Source organism: Homo sapiens, chromosome 11 (assembly GCF_000001405.40).
Source record: "Homo sapiens chromosome 11, GRCh38.p14 Primary Assembly".
In the NCBI taxonomy this organism is placed as follows: domain Eukaryota; kingdom Metazoa; phylum Chordata; class Mammalia; order Primates; family Hominidae; genus Homo; species Homo sapiens.
The window spans coordinates 122,396,600-122,419,010 of NC_000011.10; the positions used below are offsets into that span (position 1 = coordinate 122,396,600).

At 38.8% G+C, this 22,411-nt stretch overlaps 1 long non-coding RNA gene across 1 annotated transcript in view, besides 1 other annotated feature; it reads right to left on the reverse strand.

Annotated features, from left to right (window-relative positions):
* The window catches only part of MIR100HG (mir-100-let-7a-2-mir-125b-1 cluster host gene), a 394,543-nt gene that overhangs the window by 368,271 nt on the left and 3,861 nt on the right, over positions 1–22,411 (reverse strand). The window lies entirely within an intron of this gene.
* Positions 2,867–2,986: a silencer, noted in NCBI's record as "silent region_4007". NCBI's record gives its function as "represses an Ori minimal core promoter by ATAC-STARR-seq in GM12878 lymphoblastoid cells {active_cell/tissue: GM12878}" and the evidence as "EXISTENCE:reporter gene assay evidence [ECO:0000049][PMID:35858748]".

Sequence of the window (22,411 nt, forward strand, 5' to 3'; positions counted from 1 at the left end):
CATGGTCTAGAGTCCAGAAGTTGGAAATCGGTATCACTGGGTTGAAAGAAAGTTGTCTGCACCTCTTCCAGCTTCTGCTTGCTGCTGGCATTTGTTGGTCTTGTGACCACATCACTCCAATCTGTCTCCTTCTTCATATCATGTGCTCCTCAGTGTGTGTGGAATCTCCCACTGTCTCCTTCTTCTAAGGACACTTGTGATTTTATTTAAGGCCCTCCTGGATAATTCAGGATAATCTCCCTATTTCAAGATCCTTAACTTAGTCACACCTGCAAAGACTATTTTTTCATATAAGGTAATATTTACAGGTTCCAGGGATAAGGATCTGATATCTTTGGGGGTTGGGGTGCATTACCAATCTACCATGATCTGGGACAGGTAGGTTTTAGGAAGACATTTGTTGGGGGTATTATCAGCCTACCACAATCTGGGTCCGGTAGACTTTAGGAAGACATTTGTAGCTGAACCTATGGAAATGGACGCAAAAGGTACAAGGATCTTTGTGTCTCGTGTTGCTGCCCACCAAGATGTATTCACCTCAGAAAAGGTTCTCAGTCCCCAGGGAGGTGGCATAACCTTCTGTGGACATCAACCAGCCTCTTTTCATGGTTTAATACTGTCTTGGGCCTTTGAGCCAGTGGCTATGATGGCAAAGATGGAGAACTGCATGGCTGCAACAACCTGGGTTCCCTCTCACCAAGGCTCTTGATACTGCTCAATCTGCCAGCATTAGAGACTGATTATAATCACTTGACATGGTTCTATTCCTTTCGGACAGAACATCTTAATCTTTGGTGAGTAAACAGTTTTTATATTTGCTGTTTTAAAAAACTTCCAAACACTGGCCAGGCACACTTTGGGAGACTGAGGTGGGCAAATTGCTTGCTCCCAGCACTTTGAAAGGCCAAGGTTGGGGGATTGCTTAAGCCCAGGAGTTCAAGATCAGCCTGGGTAACATGGCAAAGCCCATCTCTACGAAAAAAAAAAAAAAAAAAATACAAAAATTAGCTGGGCATAGTGGTGCACACTTGTAGTCCTAGATACTCAGGAGACTGAGGTGGGAGAATTGCTTGAGCCTGGGGAGGTTGAGGCTGCAGAGAGCTGTGATTGTGCAACTGCACTCCAGGCTGGGCAACAGGGCAAGACCCTGTCTCAAATATATAAATAAATAACCAAATGCTATGGAAAATACTTTTATATAATTCAATGAAATCATCATGGAAATAATCAGAAAAATTATCAGATGCTTAGACATTGTAGCAATGTCAAATTACTTTAAAAATGTTCCTAAACATTTACAATTTATATACTTATCACAGATTGGTAAAAGTGTGCAGACCAGCCCAGATCCATGGATTATGTTTTGAAATCACTGCCCTAGAAAATTATCCAGCACCTATTGGCAGATCACGTACATCAGATCCTTTCCAGCCTGACATGGGCAGTGATTCCTCTTTATCCAAGGCTATATCTATTCTGAAAATGGATTCTCCTCCCCTGCTCCTCACCATGTAGCTTTTACCAGCACCATGGTCTAAATGCCTAATCAATGGACACGGTATGACACTCCATGTTGCCTCAGGCCAAGAGAAATATTTTACAGCCAAAGAGGTACAACCATGGACATATAACTATGGGACTTGTGGGTGTTACCATGTACCCCTCACCCAGAGGCAGCCAGCCAAATACAAAGATGAAACTGCCTGTGTCTCTAGAAACTGGAACTCATTAATCTTGAAAGCAAAGGATAGTAGTAAGATTGAAACCTCTCTGAATCATTCCCAGTGACCTACTTGCAGAATTTGTGTTTCTCCTTCTTACATCATTGGACTCTGACAGATTAGAGGTCCTGACTCCTGGGAGGGAATGTTTCCACTAGGAGTTGTACTGAATTGAAGGCCGAGACAGCAGCTATGCCACTCTTTACTCCTCATCCCAATGGACAAAAGTCAAAGAAAAGAATTACTGTATTCCTAGTGATAATTGAACCTGATGACTATGAAAAGTTAGGAATGCTGCCCCACAATAAGGGTAAGAAGTCTAAGGAATTCCCAGAATCCAGAGATCCACTGAGACTTCTCTCTGTGCTTCCATGCCCAATTATAAGAGCAAATGAGCAGCTGGATGCAATGGCTCATGCCTGTAATCCCAGCACTTTGGGAGGCCGAGGCAGGCAGATCACCTGAGGTCAGGAGTTAGAGACTAGCCTGGCCAACATGATGAAACCCTGTCTCTACTAAAAATACAAAAATTAGCCAGGAGTGGTGGCACATGCCTGTGATCCCAGCTACCCGGCAGGCTGAGGCAGGAGAATCGCTTGAACCTGGGAGTCAGATGTTGCAGTGAGCTGAGATCATGCCATCATTGCACTCCAGCTTGGGTGACAAGAATGAAACTCTCTCTCAAAAAAAAAAAAAAAAAAGAAGAAGACCAAATGAGCAATGTAGCAACCATAACTCAAAAAGGCAAGGCAATTTAGGCTGCAAACCCCTCAGGAGTAGAACTGTAGATTACCCCACCAGGGAGAAAACTCAGCAGCTAAAGTGTTGGCTGATGGGAAGAAAAATCTAAAATGAATGGAGGAGAGGAGTGATGATGATTATTAAGGATGGCTTTGGGACCAGATGCAGCTTGTTTCCATATCCTTCTTGCTGTCAGTCCTCTCCCAAATTGCTGCTGGCCACTCTCCTGAAGGGGTCTTTGTCACTGGTTGGGCTTGTCCCTCCCCTATCAGAACATGAGTGAGGATGTTTTGTTTTCACAAAAATTGAGGTACTAAATTGTAATAGTGAGCCAGATATAATAGGAGGCCCCAAACGGACTTTAATGGTGCAAGGGTTACACTATTAGTCACTTATTTTGCACCATCTCAGATCCTCTCAGCCTCATCAGTTTTGGATACTTCTAACCACTTGTTCCACCCCAGATCCCACTGCAACAACAAATACTCTGAGTTTCAGTTCACTTAATTACAAGTAGCAGACACCTTGGTAACATATCCTCATATTGACTCACCCTCTTAATCTGCCTCACCACTCCTTCTTCCTTGACATTGTATACCTTAATCAAGTGGTAGTTCAGAAGCTTTTGCCTTAGCCTCTGTTTAGCCAAGGGCACTCTGCCCGTGACTGCAGAGTTCATGTTATCACTGCCCTTCTTCCTAGGTGGGTCACCAATTATTTATGCTACTAATAATGGTGTATATTTTTTCTGCTAAAGCTGAACATCTTTCTTTACCTTTGTTTATCAAACAGTTAAAGAATTTCTGGACAAGCTAAAATGCTGGAGTCAACTAGAAAGAGTTTAAGGAAACAGAGACCAATCACAAAGGTCAAGAGTTTGACATGGGGGAAAGTGAAAGGAAGAAACTGTATCATTGGAAGAATGCCATGAATATGAACGTCTTCCCATTGACACTGAATTGAAATATTCTGCAGAAGATGCAATATTGCATAGGAAAGGCAACATGCCATCTTCCATTAAAAAAGTAAGAAGGATTAAAGGGAATTAGCAATGTTGAGGAAATTGTGCACCTTGAAAAAGATTCTCTCTAATGAATCTATTCCTACTAAATTTGGTGACAAATTTCCTCAATATTGAGTTCTTTCAATGGCAAACTACCTCATAGAGAATTGCTACAGGCATAACATATTGCAAGTGATGGACCCTACAATGTGGAATTGTCTAAGTCAAAATTAAGTAGTGCGCATCTTTTTATATAAGAGGATTGATTTATTTTGTTGTTGGTTTCTCACTTTTCAACTCTACTTTCAAATAATATCAATATAATCTATTTCTGATTTTTTAATATTTGCCTGAAGAGAAAGAAATAAAAGGTATTCACGTAAGAAGAGAAGAAGTCAAATTGTCTCTGTTTGCAGATGACGTAATCCTAAGAAAACCCCATCATCTCAGCCCAAAAGCTTCTTAAGCTGATAAGCAACTTCACCAAAGTCTCAGGATACAAAATCAATGTGCAAAAATTGCTAGCTTTCCTATACACCAACAACAGGCAAGCAGAGAGCCAAATTATGAATAAACTCCCATTTATAATTGCTACAAAGAGAATAAAATACTTAGAAATACAGCTAAAAAGGGAAGTGAAGGACCTCTTCAAGGAGAACTACATACCACTGCTCCAAGAAATCAAAGTGCACAAACAAATGGAAAACATTTCATGCTCATGGATAGGAAGAATCAATATTGTGAAAATGGCCATACTGCCCAAAGTAATTTATAGGTTCAATGCTACTCTCATTAAACTACCATTGACATTCTTCACAGAATTAAAAAACAAAATTTTAAATTCATATGGAACCAAAAAAGAGCCCAAACAGCCAAAACAATCCTAACCAAAAAGAACAAAGCTGGAGTTATCACGCTACCCGACTTCAAACTGTACTACAAGGCTACAGTAACCAAAACAGAGTGGTACTCATACCAAAACAGATATATAGACTAATGGAACAGAGAAGAGGCCTCAGAAATAACACCTCACATCTACAACCATCTGATCTTTGACAAACCTGACAAAAACAAGCAATGGGGAAAGGATTCTCTATTTAATAAATGGTGCTGGGAAAACTGGCTAGCCATATGCAGAAAACAGAAACTGGACCCCTTCCTTATACCTTATACAAAAGTTAACTCAAGATGGATTAAAGACTTAAATGTAAAACCTAAAACCAGAAAAACCCTGGAAGAAAACCTAGGCAGTACCATTCAGGACACAGACATGGGCAAAGACTTCATGACAAAAACACCAAAAGCAAATGTAATAAAAGCAAAAATTGACAAAAGGGATCTAATTAAACTAAAGAGCTTCTGCACAGCAATGGAAACTATCATCAGAGAGAACAGACAACCTACAGAATGGGAGAAAATTTTTGCAAACTATCCATCTGACAAAGATCTAATATTCAGAGTCAATAAGGAACTTAAACAAATTTACAAGAAAAAAAAAACACAGCCCCATTAAAAAGTAGGACTGCAAATGTTCATGTCCGACATTTCTCTAAAGAAGACATTCACGTGGCCTACAAACATGTGGAAAAAACTCACCATCACTGGTCATTAGAGAAATGCAAATCAAAACCACAATGAGATACCATCTCACACTAGTCAGAATGGCGATTATTAAAATGTCAAGAAACAACAGATGCTGGCAAGGTTGTGGAGAAAAAGGAACGCTGTTCTTCCACTTCCACTGTTGGTGGGAGTGTAAATTATTTCAACCACAGTGGAAGACAGCGTGATGACTCCTCAAAGACCTAGAACCAGAAATACCTTTTGACCCAGCTATCCTATTACTGGGTATATACCCAAAGGAATATAAATCATTTTATTATAAAGCTATATGCACACATGTGTTCATTGCAGGACTATTCACAATAGAAAAGACATGGAATGAACCCAAACTTGAAAATGTGGTACATATACACCATGAAATACTATGCAACCATAAGAAGGAACAAGATCATGTCCTTTGCAGGGACAAGGATGGAGCTGTCGTTTTTTTTCTCAGCAACCTAACTCAGGAACAGAAAACCAAACATGGCACGTTCTCACTTATAAGTGGGAGCTGAACAATGAGATCACATGGACACATAGTGGGGAATAACGCACGCTGGTGCCTGTCATGGGGCGGGGAGAGGGAGAGCATCAGGAAGAATAGCTAATGGATTCTGGGCTTAATACCTAGGTGAGGGGTTGATCTGTTCAGTAAGCCACCATGGCACATGTTTACCTATGAAACAAACCTGCACACTCTGCAGATGTATCCCAGAACTTAAAGTTGAAGAAAATAAAAAGATGAATTTTTTAAAAAGTGTTTGCTTTTAGTTTTATAATAGCAATCCATGTTATGCAGCAAAGTTGCTGACTTCATGTGTGCCCTTTGGTGTCTTGAGGATTAATTAAACAATGCTCCCTCCAAAGCTGCTGTTTTAGGAGGCTTGCCACTGCTCATGCAGTGCTACCTTAGAGACAAGCATCATTCCAAACTAGCTGGATTTGAAATCAGAAAGGAACAGCACAGCAAAGATATAGCTTAAGAAAATTTCTTTCTGCCTGTGGCCCCTGCTCTAAGATCATGGTAGGTCAGAGCATCGTGTACTCTGTAGAATTGCAAAAGCTACTGTTTCACACTTAAGTTAGTGTAAAAAAAGGGAAGAATATAGGAAGCCCTTGTGACGTAAGTTGGATAAAGAATTGAAGGAAACTTGATTCCTGAGATTTCCTTCAAAAACTTCTGCCTTAGTCTTTATAAATCAGATATAATCGCTACCCCACTCCCTTTGTAAAATGCAACTCACTGGGGAGCAGTGCAGCAGCAGGGGTCATATTTTCTCTGTCCACCATACCAGGTTATTATTTCACGCTGCAGTGAGGCAGAGAGGCCAGGCAGGGAAACCCCGGACAATGGGTACATCTCTTAAGCCTATTGCTGAGGGAGAGAAATCACAGAGGAGAGCTCCAAGTTCAAAGATTGCAATTAAAAAATAGCATTTGTTACTATCTAATGTAAAACTTTAAAAAATAAAACAAAGAAGTAATTTGGTTTTTGCTTTTTGAGACAGAGTCTTGCTGTGTTGCCCAGGCTAGAGTGCAGTGGCATGATGTCAGCTCACTGAAACCTCCACCTCCTGGGCTCAAGCAAATCTCAGGTTTCAGTCTCCCTAGTAGCTGGGATTACAGGCGCCCACCACCAGGCCCAGCTAATTTTTGTATTTTTAGTAGAGACAAGGTTTCACCGTGCTGGCCAGGCTAGTCTTGAACTCCTGGCCTCAAGTGGTCTGCCAGCCTCAGCCTTCCAAAGTGCTGGGATCACAGGCATGAGCCACTACGCCCAGCCAAGACGCAGTTTTTTTCATTTGTGTGTTTTGACAGAGAAAATTCAAATCAGGCAACCAAATGTTTTTTTTTAATGTTTAAATTTATTTTCTACAGCACACATTCTACACTTAAAATCAGTATTTTTTATCTTTTTCTATAAGATGATTGATTGATTTTGCTTTCAGTTTCCCACTTGTCACCCTTGCTTCCAAATATTGTCAAGATAATCTAGATTTAAAAGCTGTCTTCTTGCTATAAATTTGTTCTTACAATATATTTTATTTCTAATTGTTTATATTAGATTTCATTTTATAATGGCACTTATAACAATTGTATAATAAATTTGTGTTTACTGGTTTGGGTGCTCACTACTTTTTTTTTTTTTTTTTTTTTTTTTTTTTTTTTTTTTTTTTAGGCAGTCTTGATCTGTCTCCTAGGCTGGAGTGCAATGGCACCATCTCGGCTCACTACAACCTCTGCCTCCCGGGTTCAAGCAATTCTCCTGCCTCAGCCTCCTGAGTAGCTGGGACTACAGGTGCGCACCACCACACCTGGCTAATTTTTCACCATGTTGGTCGGGGGTTTCACCATGTTGGTCAGGCTGGTCTCGAACTCCTGACCTCATGATCCGTCCACCTCAGCATCCCAAAGTGCTGGGGTTACAGGCGTGAGCCACCACGCCTGGCGTCAACATTCTTATGACTGTTTGTTGATAGACATAAGCACTCATGTTTTCGGGAAATATATTCACTAATTAATTATAGAATATGTGTGTTTAGCTTTACTAGATACTGCCAAACAGTTTTTTTGAAGTAGTTGTGCCAATTTACTAACCAGTCATGTAGTAGAGTTCCATTTGCTTCACATCCTCACCAGCATTTAGTACTGTTAGTCTTTTTACTTTTAGCCAGTTTATGGAAATGTAATGGTGTCTCCTTGTGGTTTTAATTTTAATGTCTCAATAAGTACTGAGGCAGAGGACATTTTCATATGCTTAGCTTTTGGATATTTTTTTGAGTGAAATGCCTACGGAGGCTTTGCCTCGAAGAAAGAAGGCCATTCAAGCTAAAGGAACAGAAATGTGCAAGTCACCACCAAAGTGAGAAATGTGCTTTTCTCTACATTCATTTAGCTTGAAGCTCATTGACCTTTTTGGTGCTTTGGTTTAAGTATTTTTTCATCAAATTTGAACAGTTTTGGCATTATTACTTCAAATCTTTTTTCTGCCTCAATATTTCTCTACTATCTGATATAATTACAGGTGTACATTACAGGTGCACAAGTGAGCAATGCTAAAGAAATGACAATGAGGAAATTGTGACTATTGCATAGACTGCATGAGGAGCTGTGGTCAGAGATAAGGGTGTACACACAAGCTTGGGCCATATCACAAAAGACTCAATGCCTAGATCTCTCACTTCCATGTCCCTGTTTTACTCAACCAATTTTTATTCAATACTATTTATTAATTATTTTCTATGTGTAAGGCACTGTCTTAGTCCATTTGTGTTGTTATAACAGAATACCTAAAAGTGGAGAATTTATTAATAAAAGAGGTTTATTTAACTCATGGTTCTGCAAGCTGGGAAGTTTAAGGGCATGGCCCTGGCTTCTAGTGAGGGCTTTTATGCTGCATCATAACATGGTAGAGAAGGTCAAAGGGAAAGCAGACACCTGTGAAGAGACAAAACTCAAAGAACGTGCTGGTTTCAAAACAACTCACTCTTGCGGGAATTAGTCCATTCCTATGGGAATTAATTCAGTCTCACTAATTTAGAACAAGAACTTACTACAGCAAGAATGGCACCAAGCCATTCATGAGGGATCCACTCCCATGTCCCAAACACCCCCCACCAGGCCCCACCTCCCAATGCCACTACATTGGGGATCAAGTTTTAACATGACATTTGATAATGGGATAAACAGACCATTTCCAAACCATAACAGACACTATTATAGAATATTTAGGAAAAGCAAAACTAAGTCAAGGACTTGACTGTCCAGAAGGTTGAAATCCAGATGTGATTGTTTAGGATATGACTTTGAACAAAGAAATGATTCTGTAGATAAAGCTGTATCTGCAATGGGACTACAGTCTTTTGCAGAAGGAAACTGACTCCTCTTCGGTCCCATAAGGACAGATCAGGAACAAAAACAAGCAAACCCACACAGATAATTAGGATTAAAATTCAGAAATGACATTAGAATTTTGTTTTGCATGCCTCATACTCTGCATGTCTCATACTCTGCTAATTCCTTTGCTTCCTCCGAATTAAACACAATTGCCAGTAGAAACTAGCAGAAACTTTAGTCTGCCACAACATCCTGACCTAGCAAAAGTTAGGGGCACTCTTACATCAATCGCCAATCTGATGAAGAAAATTGTTTACTTGAATCATAGAAACACATATTTTGCTGGAACACAGTGAAAATGTAGTAGTAACAAAAATATCTAAACTCTAGCCTTTATTCTCTGAAAAGTTTACACAGATCTTTTCCTCATGACGTTATTATGTTAAAGTTTGTGTAATTAGACAGTCTCAAAGCATAAGCAATTTCAATGTGACGTGTGTATTTTAGGGGAGAGGGACAGGAGAAGGACTTTTGGTGGAATTTATTACTACTTCAAAAAAGTAAACTTGGCAAATCCATCCCTTCTTGGCATTAAACAGATATTGTCTTCATAGTGGTAAATGGTCTCCATGACTCAGCCTCCAGTTGCAAGGCAGATGAGAGGTCTCTAAACCTGTCAGAGAGCCCACAGGGTTACTTAAGTCAACTCCCTGCCCCAGTCAGCTATCTATCTACTCCCCACAATAAATGGCTGGTCAGTTCCACTTTAAATATCTCTCAGATAAAGACCTATGCTCTTTCCCAGTAGATTTCTTCAGTCTTTTCTTGTTCTAAACATACTTTCTATAAGAAGATATTACTGCTTCTTCTGCCCTCCACATACGGCAAATACTTGCTCAACGTCATCTTTTTAGTAACAGAGGCCACATTATCTCAAAAAGTATATTTATTAAAAGGCTGGATTCTGCAATAAAAAATGTATACTTGGAAACATTCTTTGTTTCCAAGCAAATCTCAGTTATTGTAGGCTTTTTATCGTCATTTCTCTCACCTTCAATCAAGCAGGAAAATTTGCCCTACACTGTCTATTCTTCTTCTCTTTCCATTCAAATCTCCTAGTCTGGGATGACATAATGCCTGGTATTTAGGTGCATGCTACAGCCTCCGGGCTGTTTTTCCTGTTTCCAACCTTTCCCTAGATTGATCCTGCACGTATATGCCACCTTTATCTTCTTAAAATACTGTTTTTTTCCTCAATATGCTTCCAAAACGGAAGAAAGGAAACATAAGAAATAAGAGAATATGTTCATGACTGAGGGACAGGCAAATATTTTTAGACAAAAGCCAAAAAGAAAAAAATGATAAATAAATTGACCTATATTAAAATCAAGAACTTCTGTCCCTCAAAAGAAGCATTAAAAGAATGAAGGGCCGGGCCGGGCGCGGTCGCTCACACCTGTAATCCTAGCACTTTGGGAGGCCGAGGCGGGCGGATCACGAGGTCAGGAGATCAAGACCATCCTGGCTAACACGGTGAAACCCCGTCTCTACTAAAAATACAAAAAATTAACTGGGCGTGGTGGCGGGTGCCTGTGGTCCCAGCTACTCGGGAGGCTGAGGCAGGAGAATGGCATGAACCCGGGAGGCGGAGCTTGCAGTGAGCCGAGATCGAGCCACTGTACTCCAGCCTGGGCGACAGAGCGAGACTCCATCTCAAAAAAAAAAAAAAAAAAAAGAATGAAGGGCCGGGTGCAGTGGCTCACGCCTGTAATCCCAGCACTTTGGGAGGCTGAGGCAAGCAGATCACAAGGTCGGGAGATCGAGACCATCCTGGCTAACACAGTGAAACCCCATCTCTACTAAAAATACAAAAAATTAGCTGGGCGTGGTGGTGGGCGCCTGTAGTCCCAGCTACTCAGGAGGCTGAGGCAGGAGAATGGCATGAACCTGGGAGGCAGAGCTTGCAGTGAGCCGAGATGGCGCCACCTCACTCCAGCCCGGGCGACAGAATGAGACTCCGTCTTAAAATAAAATAAAACAAAATAATGAAAAGGCAATCATAGAGTGGCTTATGTGTATAATACACATAAACGACAGAAGAATAATAATCAGAATATAGAACAAATTCCTTGAACAATAAAGAAATAATTTATTCAGTAGAAAATTGACAGGCATTTTATGAAGGAAGATATCCAAATGAACAGTAAATCTGTGAAAACATATTTAACTTCATTATTCATTAAGAAAATAAACATTAAAACCACAATAAATTGCTATTGCATATGTCACCAGAAAGACTAAATAAAAAAGACAATACCTAGTGATGGTGTGAAAGTAGAGTAACTGGAACTCTGAAACCCACTGATGGGCATGTAAATTAGTGCAACCATTTAGGGAAAACTGTTTGCCAATATCAACTAACCTTGCTCATGCACGTAACCTATACCCAGAAATTCTATCCCTAGGTATACATCTAAAGAGACTTGTATACATATTCAATGAAGTACATATACAAGAATATCCATTCATTCAACATTATTTGTGATATCCAAATCCAGAAAGCAACACATATGTCTATGAAAAGTACAGTGAATAAATATATTGTGCTGTAATCATATCATGAAATACTAATCAGCAACAAATGTGACTCAAGTATTACTATGTGCTGAATCTCAGAACATGAATGAATCTCAGAAACATGTTGAATGAAAGTAGCCAGGAACACAAAGAATACATTCTGCAAGATTTAATTTATATAAAAGACTAAAACAGACAAAAATGAATCTATAATGCACAGATTCAGGATAAGTGGTTTCCCTTACAGGAGATATCGACTGGTCAGGGTTAGAAGAATAGCTTTTGGGATTCTGGTAATGTTCTGTTTCTTAATCTTGGTGCTGGATGCACCGGTATGGTTACTTGGTGAAAATTCATCAGGTTCTACACTAATGATTTGTGCCTCTTTCCATATATAAATTATACTTTAGTAAAAAAGTTAAAACAAAACAATGTGTACATTTTCCTCTTATTACTCAATAATTTGCATGGCTTTCCAGGATCTACCAAACCAAGTTTCATTTTTCACACACACACACACACATACACACACACACGCCCTCCTTCACATCTTTATTCATACAGTTTCCCCTTATTGAAATATTCTTTATTCTCCATATGCTGGTTTGGTAAACCATATCTCCTTGACATGTACTAATTTGCTCAGGACCGTCCTACTTTGAAGCTGTTGCCCTGGAGTAATTACCAAAAGTAACTAGAACAATTAGAAATATTTAGAACATGTCCCTTACCTTTAGAGTTGTCTTTACCATACTTAATTCAAAAACAAACTTTTAGTGACTCTATTTTCCCATGTCTTTGCAAAGCATTCGGCATAGTTTTTGTAGAAACAACATTTCATGTAACATGTAATTAAGTTATATCTACTTAGCAAGTAAAACTGGCAAAAATAGGAACAAACATTAGTGGCTTTTGGGAACTCAACTGACGGAGAGGCAGGCTGGTGTACTGGCTGCACTGCATTAGGTTTGCATCTATAGCACCCACTTACGTTTTACAGAGAGAATGGGGCACCTTATTTCATCTGTCTAGTCAGTTAATTGGAGGTTGGATGAGAGAATTTCTACTATATATCCATTTGTTAAGAAAACTACCAAATACATCAGGTATAAAAGCAAAGATACCAAATCAACAATGAGTGAAAGGAATTTTGTTTAATTTGGTCTAGAGTCAGACTCTTAGCTTCTTTCAAACTAAGTGTGGGTTTAGTCAAGACATCAAAAAAGCTTCAGGTTGAACTACATAAATCTCTTTTGGAATCTAAAAGCCAGCACTTGTAATCAGAAGCATTTTTCATCCTTATACAGCCAAATGTTCGGTCCAAAACCATCAGGGAAAGAACAGCACTAGGACATAGCTCATCCTGAGGGTACTCAGAGTTTCCCTATCACCTGCAGGTTAATGTTGGCATGACCACAGAAACCTGCCACCTGATCATTAGCCAGTTCCTTGATGGGGGTGTGGGTGAAAGGAAGAAACCCTAATGGGATTAGAAAAATGAAAAAGTAGGCTGGAGCCAAGATGACATTAGACTAGGAAGGCTAGAGATGGGAAAATATTGCAAGAAAGGACATTCTTAATTCATGTCATCTTCAGAAAACCCATTCATCTTGATGCTAAATTCCTTGGCAAGGTCTAAATATGAAATTTAAAGAAGCTTTTCCCATTAAATTGCCACTTGGCATTACACATTTGGAGGGAAAGAAGTCTCAGAGATGGAAGTTTTGTCATCTAGCTGGCCAACTACTCAGCAGAGTGAATAGAGGTGCTCCATTTCTCTGAATCTAGCACTGCTCACTGTGTCCTAGTCAAGTCAACCAGGAACAGCCTGACCCAGAATGTCTAGCAAGAAGGGAATTAGATCAAAGTGCTCTTCCATCCTGGATGCCTTTAAATAATATTATGGGATTAAAGGTTTTACAAAAAATGTAATTCAATTAACTGGTTCCTCTTACTGTTTTCTTAAAGCAACAATGATTGAATAGATTTGTAGGCCCAAGGACAGAAGGGCATCATCTAACCCTATTTGGAGAATTTAACCCTATTTTGAAGAACTCTTTTTATGAGATTACTTTATGTTTGTAAAATCCATCATAATCACCTTTTGGCTGTTCCAGAAAGTCTCAGAACCTGGTCAACACATTTGCTCATCACAAGTGGAGGAAAAGCAGAAGCAACAAAGATAGACGTGGTCAGAAGAGAATAAAAGCAGCAAAAATAATGTGATCAGTAGCAGATCCCTTTCCTCATAAGCTGTTTCTTTCAGAATAAAAAATTCACTACCACCCCACCCCAAACCACCCAACACGTAGAGCTACCATGCTCACTAGCTTAGCTGCCCGTCTGCTAGGACCTGCCAAGCTGGCAGAGGAATCTGGTGCTGGCCCTCAATAAAGGGTCATCACTTTCCCTTCATCTTGCCTTATGAGGACACTCCTCCTGTTCTGTGTCTCACAGCCTTGGGGCTACAGGCAGTAAGTTCCACACCTATCTCATATTCTAGTCATTTTTGAACTTTAAAAAAAGTAGCTAAATGCCTTTTATACAAATAACAAATAAGTATATGAAAAGGTAGAAGACGTGTCTTAGTCCATTTTGTGTTGCTATACAGAAATGCTGGAAGTTGGGTAATTTATAAAGAGAAGGGGTTCATTTGGCTTACAATTCTGATGGCTGGAAAGTTTAAGATAGGCGTCTAGCGAAGACCTTAGGCTGCTTTCATTCATGGCATAGGACAAAGGGGAGCCAGCCTGTGCAGAAATCACATGGCAAGAGGGAAAGCAAGAGAGAGTGGGGAAGTGCCAGGCTCGTCTTAACAACCAGTTCTCAGGAGAACTAAGAGCAACAACTCACTCACCCCCAAGGGAAGACATTAACCTATGCTTGAGGGATCCACCCCCATGACCCCAACACCTTCTATTAGACCCAATCTCCAACACTGGGGATCAAATTTCAACATAAGTTTTCGAGAAAACAAACATCCAAACCATTGCAAGGGGTCTTCTCTGGTTGCAGCAGAAGAGAGGCAAAAAATGTCCACATTCCTTGTGTCTCCCTCCCCTGTCATCCTCTCGGGACACTGTGTAAGGAAACCTGGCTTCTTAGAACAGAATGAAAAAACAACTGACAACAAACTGCCTGGCAGATGTGCTAATAGGAATAAAGGAAACCAAAAATATTTTACCCTAAAATATACTTCTTTAACATATTTTGAGATGGCTATTCAGAGGGTCTGCAAACAGGAATAGCCTTGAAAAGCTGCCTTTTGTGGAGGAGATTTGCATCTGTAGAGAAAATCTACATTGGTGAAATAAATAGCCAGGCTTTCTCTGCCCCCTGTTCTCCATCTGGATCTAGAAAGGGCTGTCTCATGGGAGAGAGAAACTGAGAGTCTGACACCTTTGGATGTCTGACAGAAACCTATTCTGAGAACTGTTACCTGTGAGGTTTCATCTGCATAACAAGACCACCTTTGCTAGCCTTGCCTTTCCTCTTCTCCCTCTCCCAAAACCTGTCTTGCCATGTTCCATGCCTCTTTTTCTATAACCTCAAGATGGTATAAAAGAATCAACTATCTGGGCCTTTCTTTGAGTTTTTATATTTTGTATGACTTCCATGCACATGTGTACATGTTAATACATTTTGTATGCCTTTTTTTTCTATTAATCTTCCTTTTGTCCATTTATTTTCACTGAACCTTCAAAGGGTGAAGGGGAAGGTTTTCCTTGGCCCCTACAGTTTTTGGTACTGTGAGCAGGATAATCAGAACTATCCTGCTGTTCTGAAAGCTGCAGTCAAGGTTACCCAGAACCTGACAAGCCAGCAGAAGGGCACAAATTTCTTACCAGTGAGATTCCTGGGTGTCTGTCTGTGAAATCCAGTGAAGCAGATGGTAAAAATCACTGTTTCTTTCTTTTCTCTTTTCCAAATTAATTTTTTTCCTTTGTCTGTATCTTTCTATGGTATTTGTCATAAAGAGTCCCTCTCATTTTACGTCCTTGAGAGCTTGACTTGTAACCAAGTAACTCTCTCTTGTTCTCTGATCTCCATGGGGTCACATTTGGTGGCCAGCCTGAAACGACTGGGAACCTGAAATGTTAAGCAGCAGACTCTGTGTTCTAAGTGTGCCAAGCTCTTAGGGGAATTTTAATAAGGAGTTCCTTCTATAAGGGGCTTTTGTTGCCTTAACTCTTGTTGCCTGGTTAGAACTGGGACAGTTCAATCCCAGGAGGGCCTATCCAGTGTCACAGATTAACAGGTCCATGTCTGGTGGACCCTCACAAATTTGTGAGATACTGGAGACACTATAGGCATAAATAGCGGCTGTAACTGTCTATGACAAGAGTCTTTTGCTATCTTAGTTTATTTCTGGGACTAAATTTGTGAGACGGGTATCACTGGGGAGGTGCAACTTTTGCATCCATTTTTAAAATGCCACTTATGACCATGGTATTGTAAACCTGGAAAATTACCCATGGGACTTTCCATGGAAAAGGCTTATTGGCTTGAGTCACTGATGGAATAAATAAATTGGCTAGATTTAAAAGAGAACTCTTAAGAGAGCTCTTGTCCTAAACAGCTATCTTATCAGTACCTATGAAAGAAATATAGCCTTAAAAACTTCCTTGGCAGGATTTGAAAAAAGCAGAAATCAGAGTTAAAACTAAGTTAAAATCCTTCGTACATTCAAACTGCCTGCTTTGGATCCCCCACAGGATCTTCAAGGAAGGGTATCCAGCCTGCAGTCTAGTGTCAAGGATTCCACACATTCACTGCTGAGGCATGAGTTTAATTTCCAGTCAGAGAGTCAGTTCCTTTGGGATGTAAATCCTTTAACTCAGGAGAAAAAAAAAAGAAACATCTACAAGAATTAGTTTGAATTATTTGTTTTGAATTTATATTTGTGTGACTCAACTTTTTAAGATATTCATTTGTTATTGATCCTTTTCCCTTCTGTGGACAGCTATTGTTTTCCTGTTCATCTCCAAGTCTCTTTTTTCTTCCAGCTTTCTTTGGAGTGGCTCTGGATCTTGTGAGCACTGCTTTTTTGCTGCTCTTTGGAGATGGCTAGTGCATCCATGGTGAAATTATAAAAAGCATGCTGGTTTTGGTTCTGAGTCGCTTGATAGTGACATTTGATTTAAAAAAAAAAGAGAGAGAGAAAAAGAAGTTCAAAAGCCAGGAATATTGGCTACTTGTCCTGACTAAAATCTGGTAATGAAAGATTAAAAATATATATATATTTTAAGAGCTCTATGGTCAAAAGTCAGCTTAATTAAAAGCTGATATTCAGACTGATTAAAAAAAAAAGCTCCTCTTTTCTCTTTTGGATCCTATTTCTCTCATGTATTTTTTCAGTCAACTGAACCCTTTTTAATTTTATGTTTGGCCCTTCTGTTAGCTTCCTTTCTTGTTGACAAGATTTTTGCTTTAAAAGAAAAATATAAAATTGTATTGGCCTTTGTGAGAAGCTTAAGATCTTCCCAAATTGGCTCCCCTCAGACTCATTCGCCCATTTGCTTTTGCCCTTCCTTTTGCCACCTTTGTCATCCCCAACTTCCTCCATTTGGTAGTCAGTAGATTTAAAAATTATAGAAAGGAAATATGATGGGTTTAGTTGTTGCATAAAGATATCTGAAAGAGGCTTCTAGAGACTCTAAGTTCCTATGAGGAACACAGCCAAAGCACCACTGACCTTTTTAGGGGTCCCTGTCTTCCTCATGGAGCCCCAAGAGTCATGAGTAGGTTCAGCACTATTTTTTAATGAGCTTTGCCCTGAACTCAGTAATCCAGTTAAAAACAGAAACTAAGCTTTTTAGCCACCTATCCAAATAAATCAGTTTCCAAAGTACAACTTTCTGGCATTTAGCTGGCTATTTTTTAAACTCTTTGTAAAAGAAATTTATATCTATAAAGAAAATCTCCATTTGTAAGGGCATCTTCCTCTACATAAACCACTAGAAACTGTTACAATGGGAAAGACATTTACTTAAAAGTTTACATAGAAAACCTTACCTTTGTTTAAAGTCCTTTTCCTGACCATCTTACCTTAACCGGGCTTTTACCCATACCATTCTTTGTCTTGGTAAATAATGATGTTTATATCTAAGTTTTGTGCCTTTGAGATATAAATTTTCTTCTTGTTCTACCTAAGAGTTATCCTTTTGGAAGTGTGAATTTAGAGTTGCCTAGTTAACAATTGCTTGGGGCAATGAAACAGGTAATTAGAAGTGTAATGATCTGAATGGGGAAAAACAAAAACTAGCTAGAAGCTGGCAAATGCAGAAACTTAATGAAAGCTTTAAGATCTGCTTCTGTTTGTATATCTATATGCATATGTGATATTTCATGTGATCTGAAATAATCTTAGGTAAATAAAGCTAGTTTTAAGGTTGTTGGTAAAATAAAATAGAAATGTTTTCAGAATTGTTGGTATTAAATATAATTCAGACATTTTTGCCTGGATCTACTGGTCAGATAGGTTTATGCTGTCTCTGATACATGTTTTAAGTTCATGAAACTACTTCTGTAATACTTCATATACATGCCTGGTTTATCTGTAAGCTAAAGCTGTAAAGTCTGACTGCTAGGCTTTCCTGAATCCTTGCACACATCTTGCTATAAGCTTATGTTTTTTATTTTGAGCCTCTGAATTCTGTAGTCTGAACAGGTGGCCATGGCGGCGACTGGGGACATGAGTGTCCAGAGTGCCTTGACAATTAGCTGCAAGGAAAAGCCAAGCTCAATTTGGCCCCATCCTGGCCAGGAGGCATAGCTGGACCTGGGAGGATGGGGCCAGACAGACCTTGCTCTTCATAGGCATCCTGGGTGCCATGTGGGCACTGGAGAAATGAATTAGGATGGGTATCTGTGTCATAATTTCAAATTTATTTTTAGAATTTAAAATCTTGGTCATGTTATATTAAATTATGTAATAGATTATCATAAAACGTCTGAGTCATTTCCAAGTAAGTTAAAATACTGAAACATTAATTACTAAACAAAAGTTAAGTTTATATACTTTGATATCTTGTTTTTTTATGCTATAGAAAAGCTAAATATATTTAGATTTGTCAATAAACAAAAAATTGAGAAAACATATCTTTCTAAGATATTATGAAATAGTTTTTAACTACAAATTCTGATATAAAACAGTTCAAAAGCACAAACTTCCTAGATTTTCACTAGAAATTATGGTAAATAAGTGTTAAGATTTATATTAGTATATGTAATTAAGACCACTAATGTGAGAATAATAATTCTATATGCAAATTGCACCAAAAAGAGGGGGACAAGATATGTTTTTGGTGAGAAAGTTATTAAAAAAGGCAGGAGAATGTGGTTTTATTGTTAAAGAAAACATGATTTTGTCTAGTTTAGAAGTAATTTAAAGGTTGTTTCAAATTGAAGGAATAAAAAAATGATATGGATAAAACTAAAAAGATATAAAAAGAGGATAGAAAAATATAAGAGGTTATAAAAGATTTATGGAAATCTTGTGTAAAATCTTGTATAAAATCTTGTATAAAAGATTTATGGAAATCTCAGTAAGTCAAAGCTTACTGAGACTGGATAAATTTGTTTATAAGATTTTATTAAAATTAGGTTTAGTATGAATACACAAACACATGTAAAATTTGGTTTTCTCTTTTGAAAAAGATGTTTGTGTAGTATTAATAGGAAGCAAAAACTGTAGTAGTAAAGAAATGATGTTTAACCTTCTTTGAGTTATCTTGTATATGCATATTATTAACAGGTGTTCCAAAATTATATGATTCCTAAAATGTTGATATGCCTTGGTATATTTTATGTCATAATTATGACTATTTGGTTAAATTTTTATAGAAAATAACCAAATTTCCTTGTCAATTGTGTCTTTAATCATGGCCATTTTAAGTCTTGTCATCCACAGTTAATTGCTTTATTTTGATGCCTTTTTTCCTAAAAGCTAGTTGCAAATCTTAGTATTGTGTCTTCAAGGACATTTATGGAAAAGACTGCAGCAAGTACTCTTTTGAGACGGAGTTTCACTCTGTCACCCCGGCTGGAGTGTAGTGGCATGATCTCGGCTCACTGCAACCTCTGCCTCCTGGGTTCAAGCAATTCTCCGGCGTCAGCCTCCCAAGTAGCTGAGATTACAGGCACCCGCCACCACGCTTGGCTAATTTTTGTATTTTTAGTAGTGACTGGGTTTCATTATTTTGGCCAGCCTGGTCTCAAACTCCTGACCTCAAGCGATCTGCCTGCCTCAGCCTCCCAAAGTGCTAGGATTGCAGGCGTGAGCCACTGCGCCTGGCCAACAAGTACTCTTAAATACAGATTTCTGACAACTTTGAGATCATATAATTGAACTGGGTAACAATTTCAAAAACTCCAAGGAAAGAAAAATGGACTTATAAAATTTCTAACATAACATCAACCAGAATAAGAATGAATGACATGGGATGAAACTTATGGAAAACTAAAATGACTTTTTTGCCTTTTTTTGTTTAAAACATTATTGATTCTTTTTATATTTTGTTTTCCAGAGTCAAGAAAACTTTTTTTCTTTCAAAGTTATCTATAGCTTGTAGCAATTGGGTAAAAAGTATCTGTGAGCAAAACTTATTTACTTTTCTCTCTACCTGATCCTTCCAGAATTTGAATACTATTCATGAGTATTCTTATTTTATGGCAACATAAATGTTTGTATAAATTCAGTAAGAATCTGTTTTCTTTTGTAACAGAACACAATTGGAGACATTGGTTATTTTACCATGGCTCTGACTGGAATGTAATATTCTCAAACATGACCAGATTGCTTTGAGGAACTGAGGTTGAATTTATAAGACCAATAGACTTGGGAAAACACAAGCCTAGTATCTTGTTTACGTGGTTCTCTAACAAGGTTCCTTGTGGCAAGTAAAGAACGTCACTTTCTGACAGGCCCAGGAACCTCGGGATATTTAGGGGACCTCAAAAAAGAGGAACTCATCCTATTTGTACAGGTATTACAGAACCTTTGGCTTGGCTCATAAGCATCACCAGGTTTTCAAAAGTCATATCTGAAATTATTTACAGATTTGCTGGAACAATGTTCCAGCAAAACCAATCTAAAAAGATCCCATATGGCATATCACTATTTTTGGTACACTTTATGCAAACAATCAAGCCAAGTATAATAATGAGACTAACATTTATTTGGCTAATAAAGGTCTCACTATTACTTATTCTTGGTAGAAATGGGGGACTGAAAAGAGAAAAAATTATGTTCTGGAAGAAAACCTATAATACACCCATTATTAGGTAACAATGCCTCATTTGTTCGTTTGTTTGTTTGAGGTTTTATTATTTACCTCCTATCCAAACCAAATTCTAAGACGTTAGTTCCTTCAAATATCTGGCTGTGACCCTTCAGACTAATGATTCCCATTTTTCTCCCACCCTTATTACTTTAATTGACAGAAATTAAAACTGTGCTTTTCTTAAAGGCCTAAGTAGTAAAGCTAGATTACTTGTTATAAACTTTGAAAGAAATCACTACAGCAATTTATATGTAAATGGCTTTTGTGCCTGCTGATATATGAACTATCCAGACAGTTCATTGGAACATCTGATTCAAACTGCAATCCAGAAAAATCTGCCAGTCTTCCACTGCCTGCCTACTCCAACTAAAGATGCTTCGGAGACTCTAGAAAAACTAGCTTATAGACGACTCCAGACATTAACTTTTATTTTTCTTCTGTTTCCATAGACATGCCTCTTATTAAAGATCTGTTTTCCTGCATCACATATAGAGGCTGAGATTTGAAAATGTAGGAGCTCAGAAAATGACACCCCAAAATAAAGTCCTCAAAATCTGCTCTCTCTGACCTTCTCCCACCCTTCTGTCTCTGGCGTCTCCTTCTTTCCCAAGGTCAGCCATAGAAACCAGAATCCTTTTTCCCTGAGGTAGTTCATAGAAACCAGAATACCTTTTCCCCAAAGCCAACCATAAAATGTAAAAATATTATTCTAACTCCCCCAAACCTCCACAACACACACCTTTCTGTGTAAAAACTGACCAAAAAGAAATTACCTGATCTGTCTTGTTTCATTGTAGGTCCCAAGACCTCCATTCCAGAGAGGGCCCTGCCCGAGACTCAGAAGGAAGGAATGCTCCGCAGAAAGGCCAAGAAGAATCTAACCAGACAGGCCTTGCTGCATTTCCCCGCTCAGTCTATTACCATTATATTACACATTTTTTGTCCAATCATATTTCTACATGGCTGTCCATACATTGTTAAACCTAGCATAAAAATGGACAACTTTCCCTGCATCTTTAGGTCTTCATTAGAAGGCTGCTGTGTCACATAAAACTATGACCCAATAAATTTATATGCCTTTTCTTCTATTAACCTGCCTTTAGTCAGTGATTTTTCAGTGATCCTTCAGAGGTCAAAGGGGGGGGGGGGTTTTCCTTGGCCCTTACAAGAGCCCATCTGCAATGCCATCATAGGGAACACAACTGTTTAACTGAACGGACCTATTCTCATGACTAAGAGACTGATTCAAGAAGATGTGGGATGCTTGTTTCAATAGGGATTTCTTTTCCCCTTTTACCAACTTCGTATCTCACAATCTCTAACCCAAATCTCCCCAAACCTACCAACTTGGGCTTTAATATGTGACACTCTAAAAATAAAAGTTTCAAATGGGGGACTAGAGGAAAATAAAAATATTCACCCCAAAATATTTCTTTGACATGTTTTGAGATGGCTATTCAGAGGGCCTGCAGACAGAATAGCCCTGAAAAGCTGACTTTTGTGGAGGAGATTTGCATCTCTAGAGAAGATCTCCATCCGTGAAATCAACAGGCAGGCTTTCTCTGCTCACTCCCTTGTCTAGATCTAGGAAGGACTGGCTCACGAGAGAAAGTGACTGAAAGTCTCACACCTTTGGGGGTTTA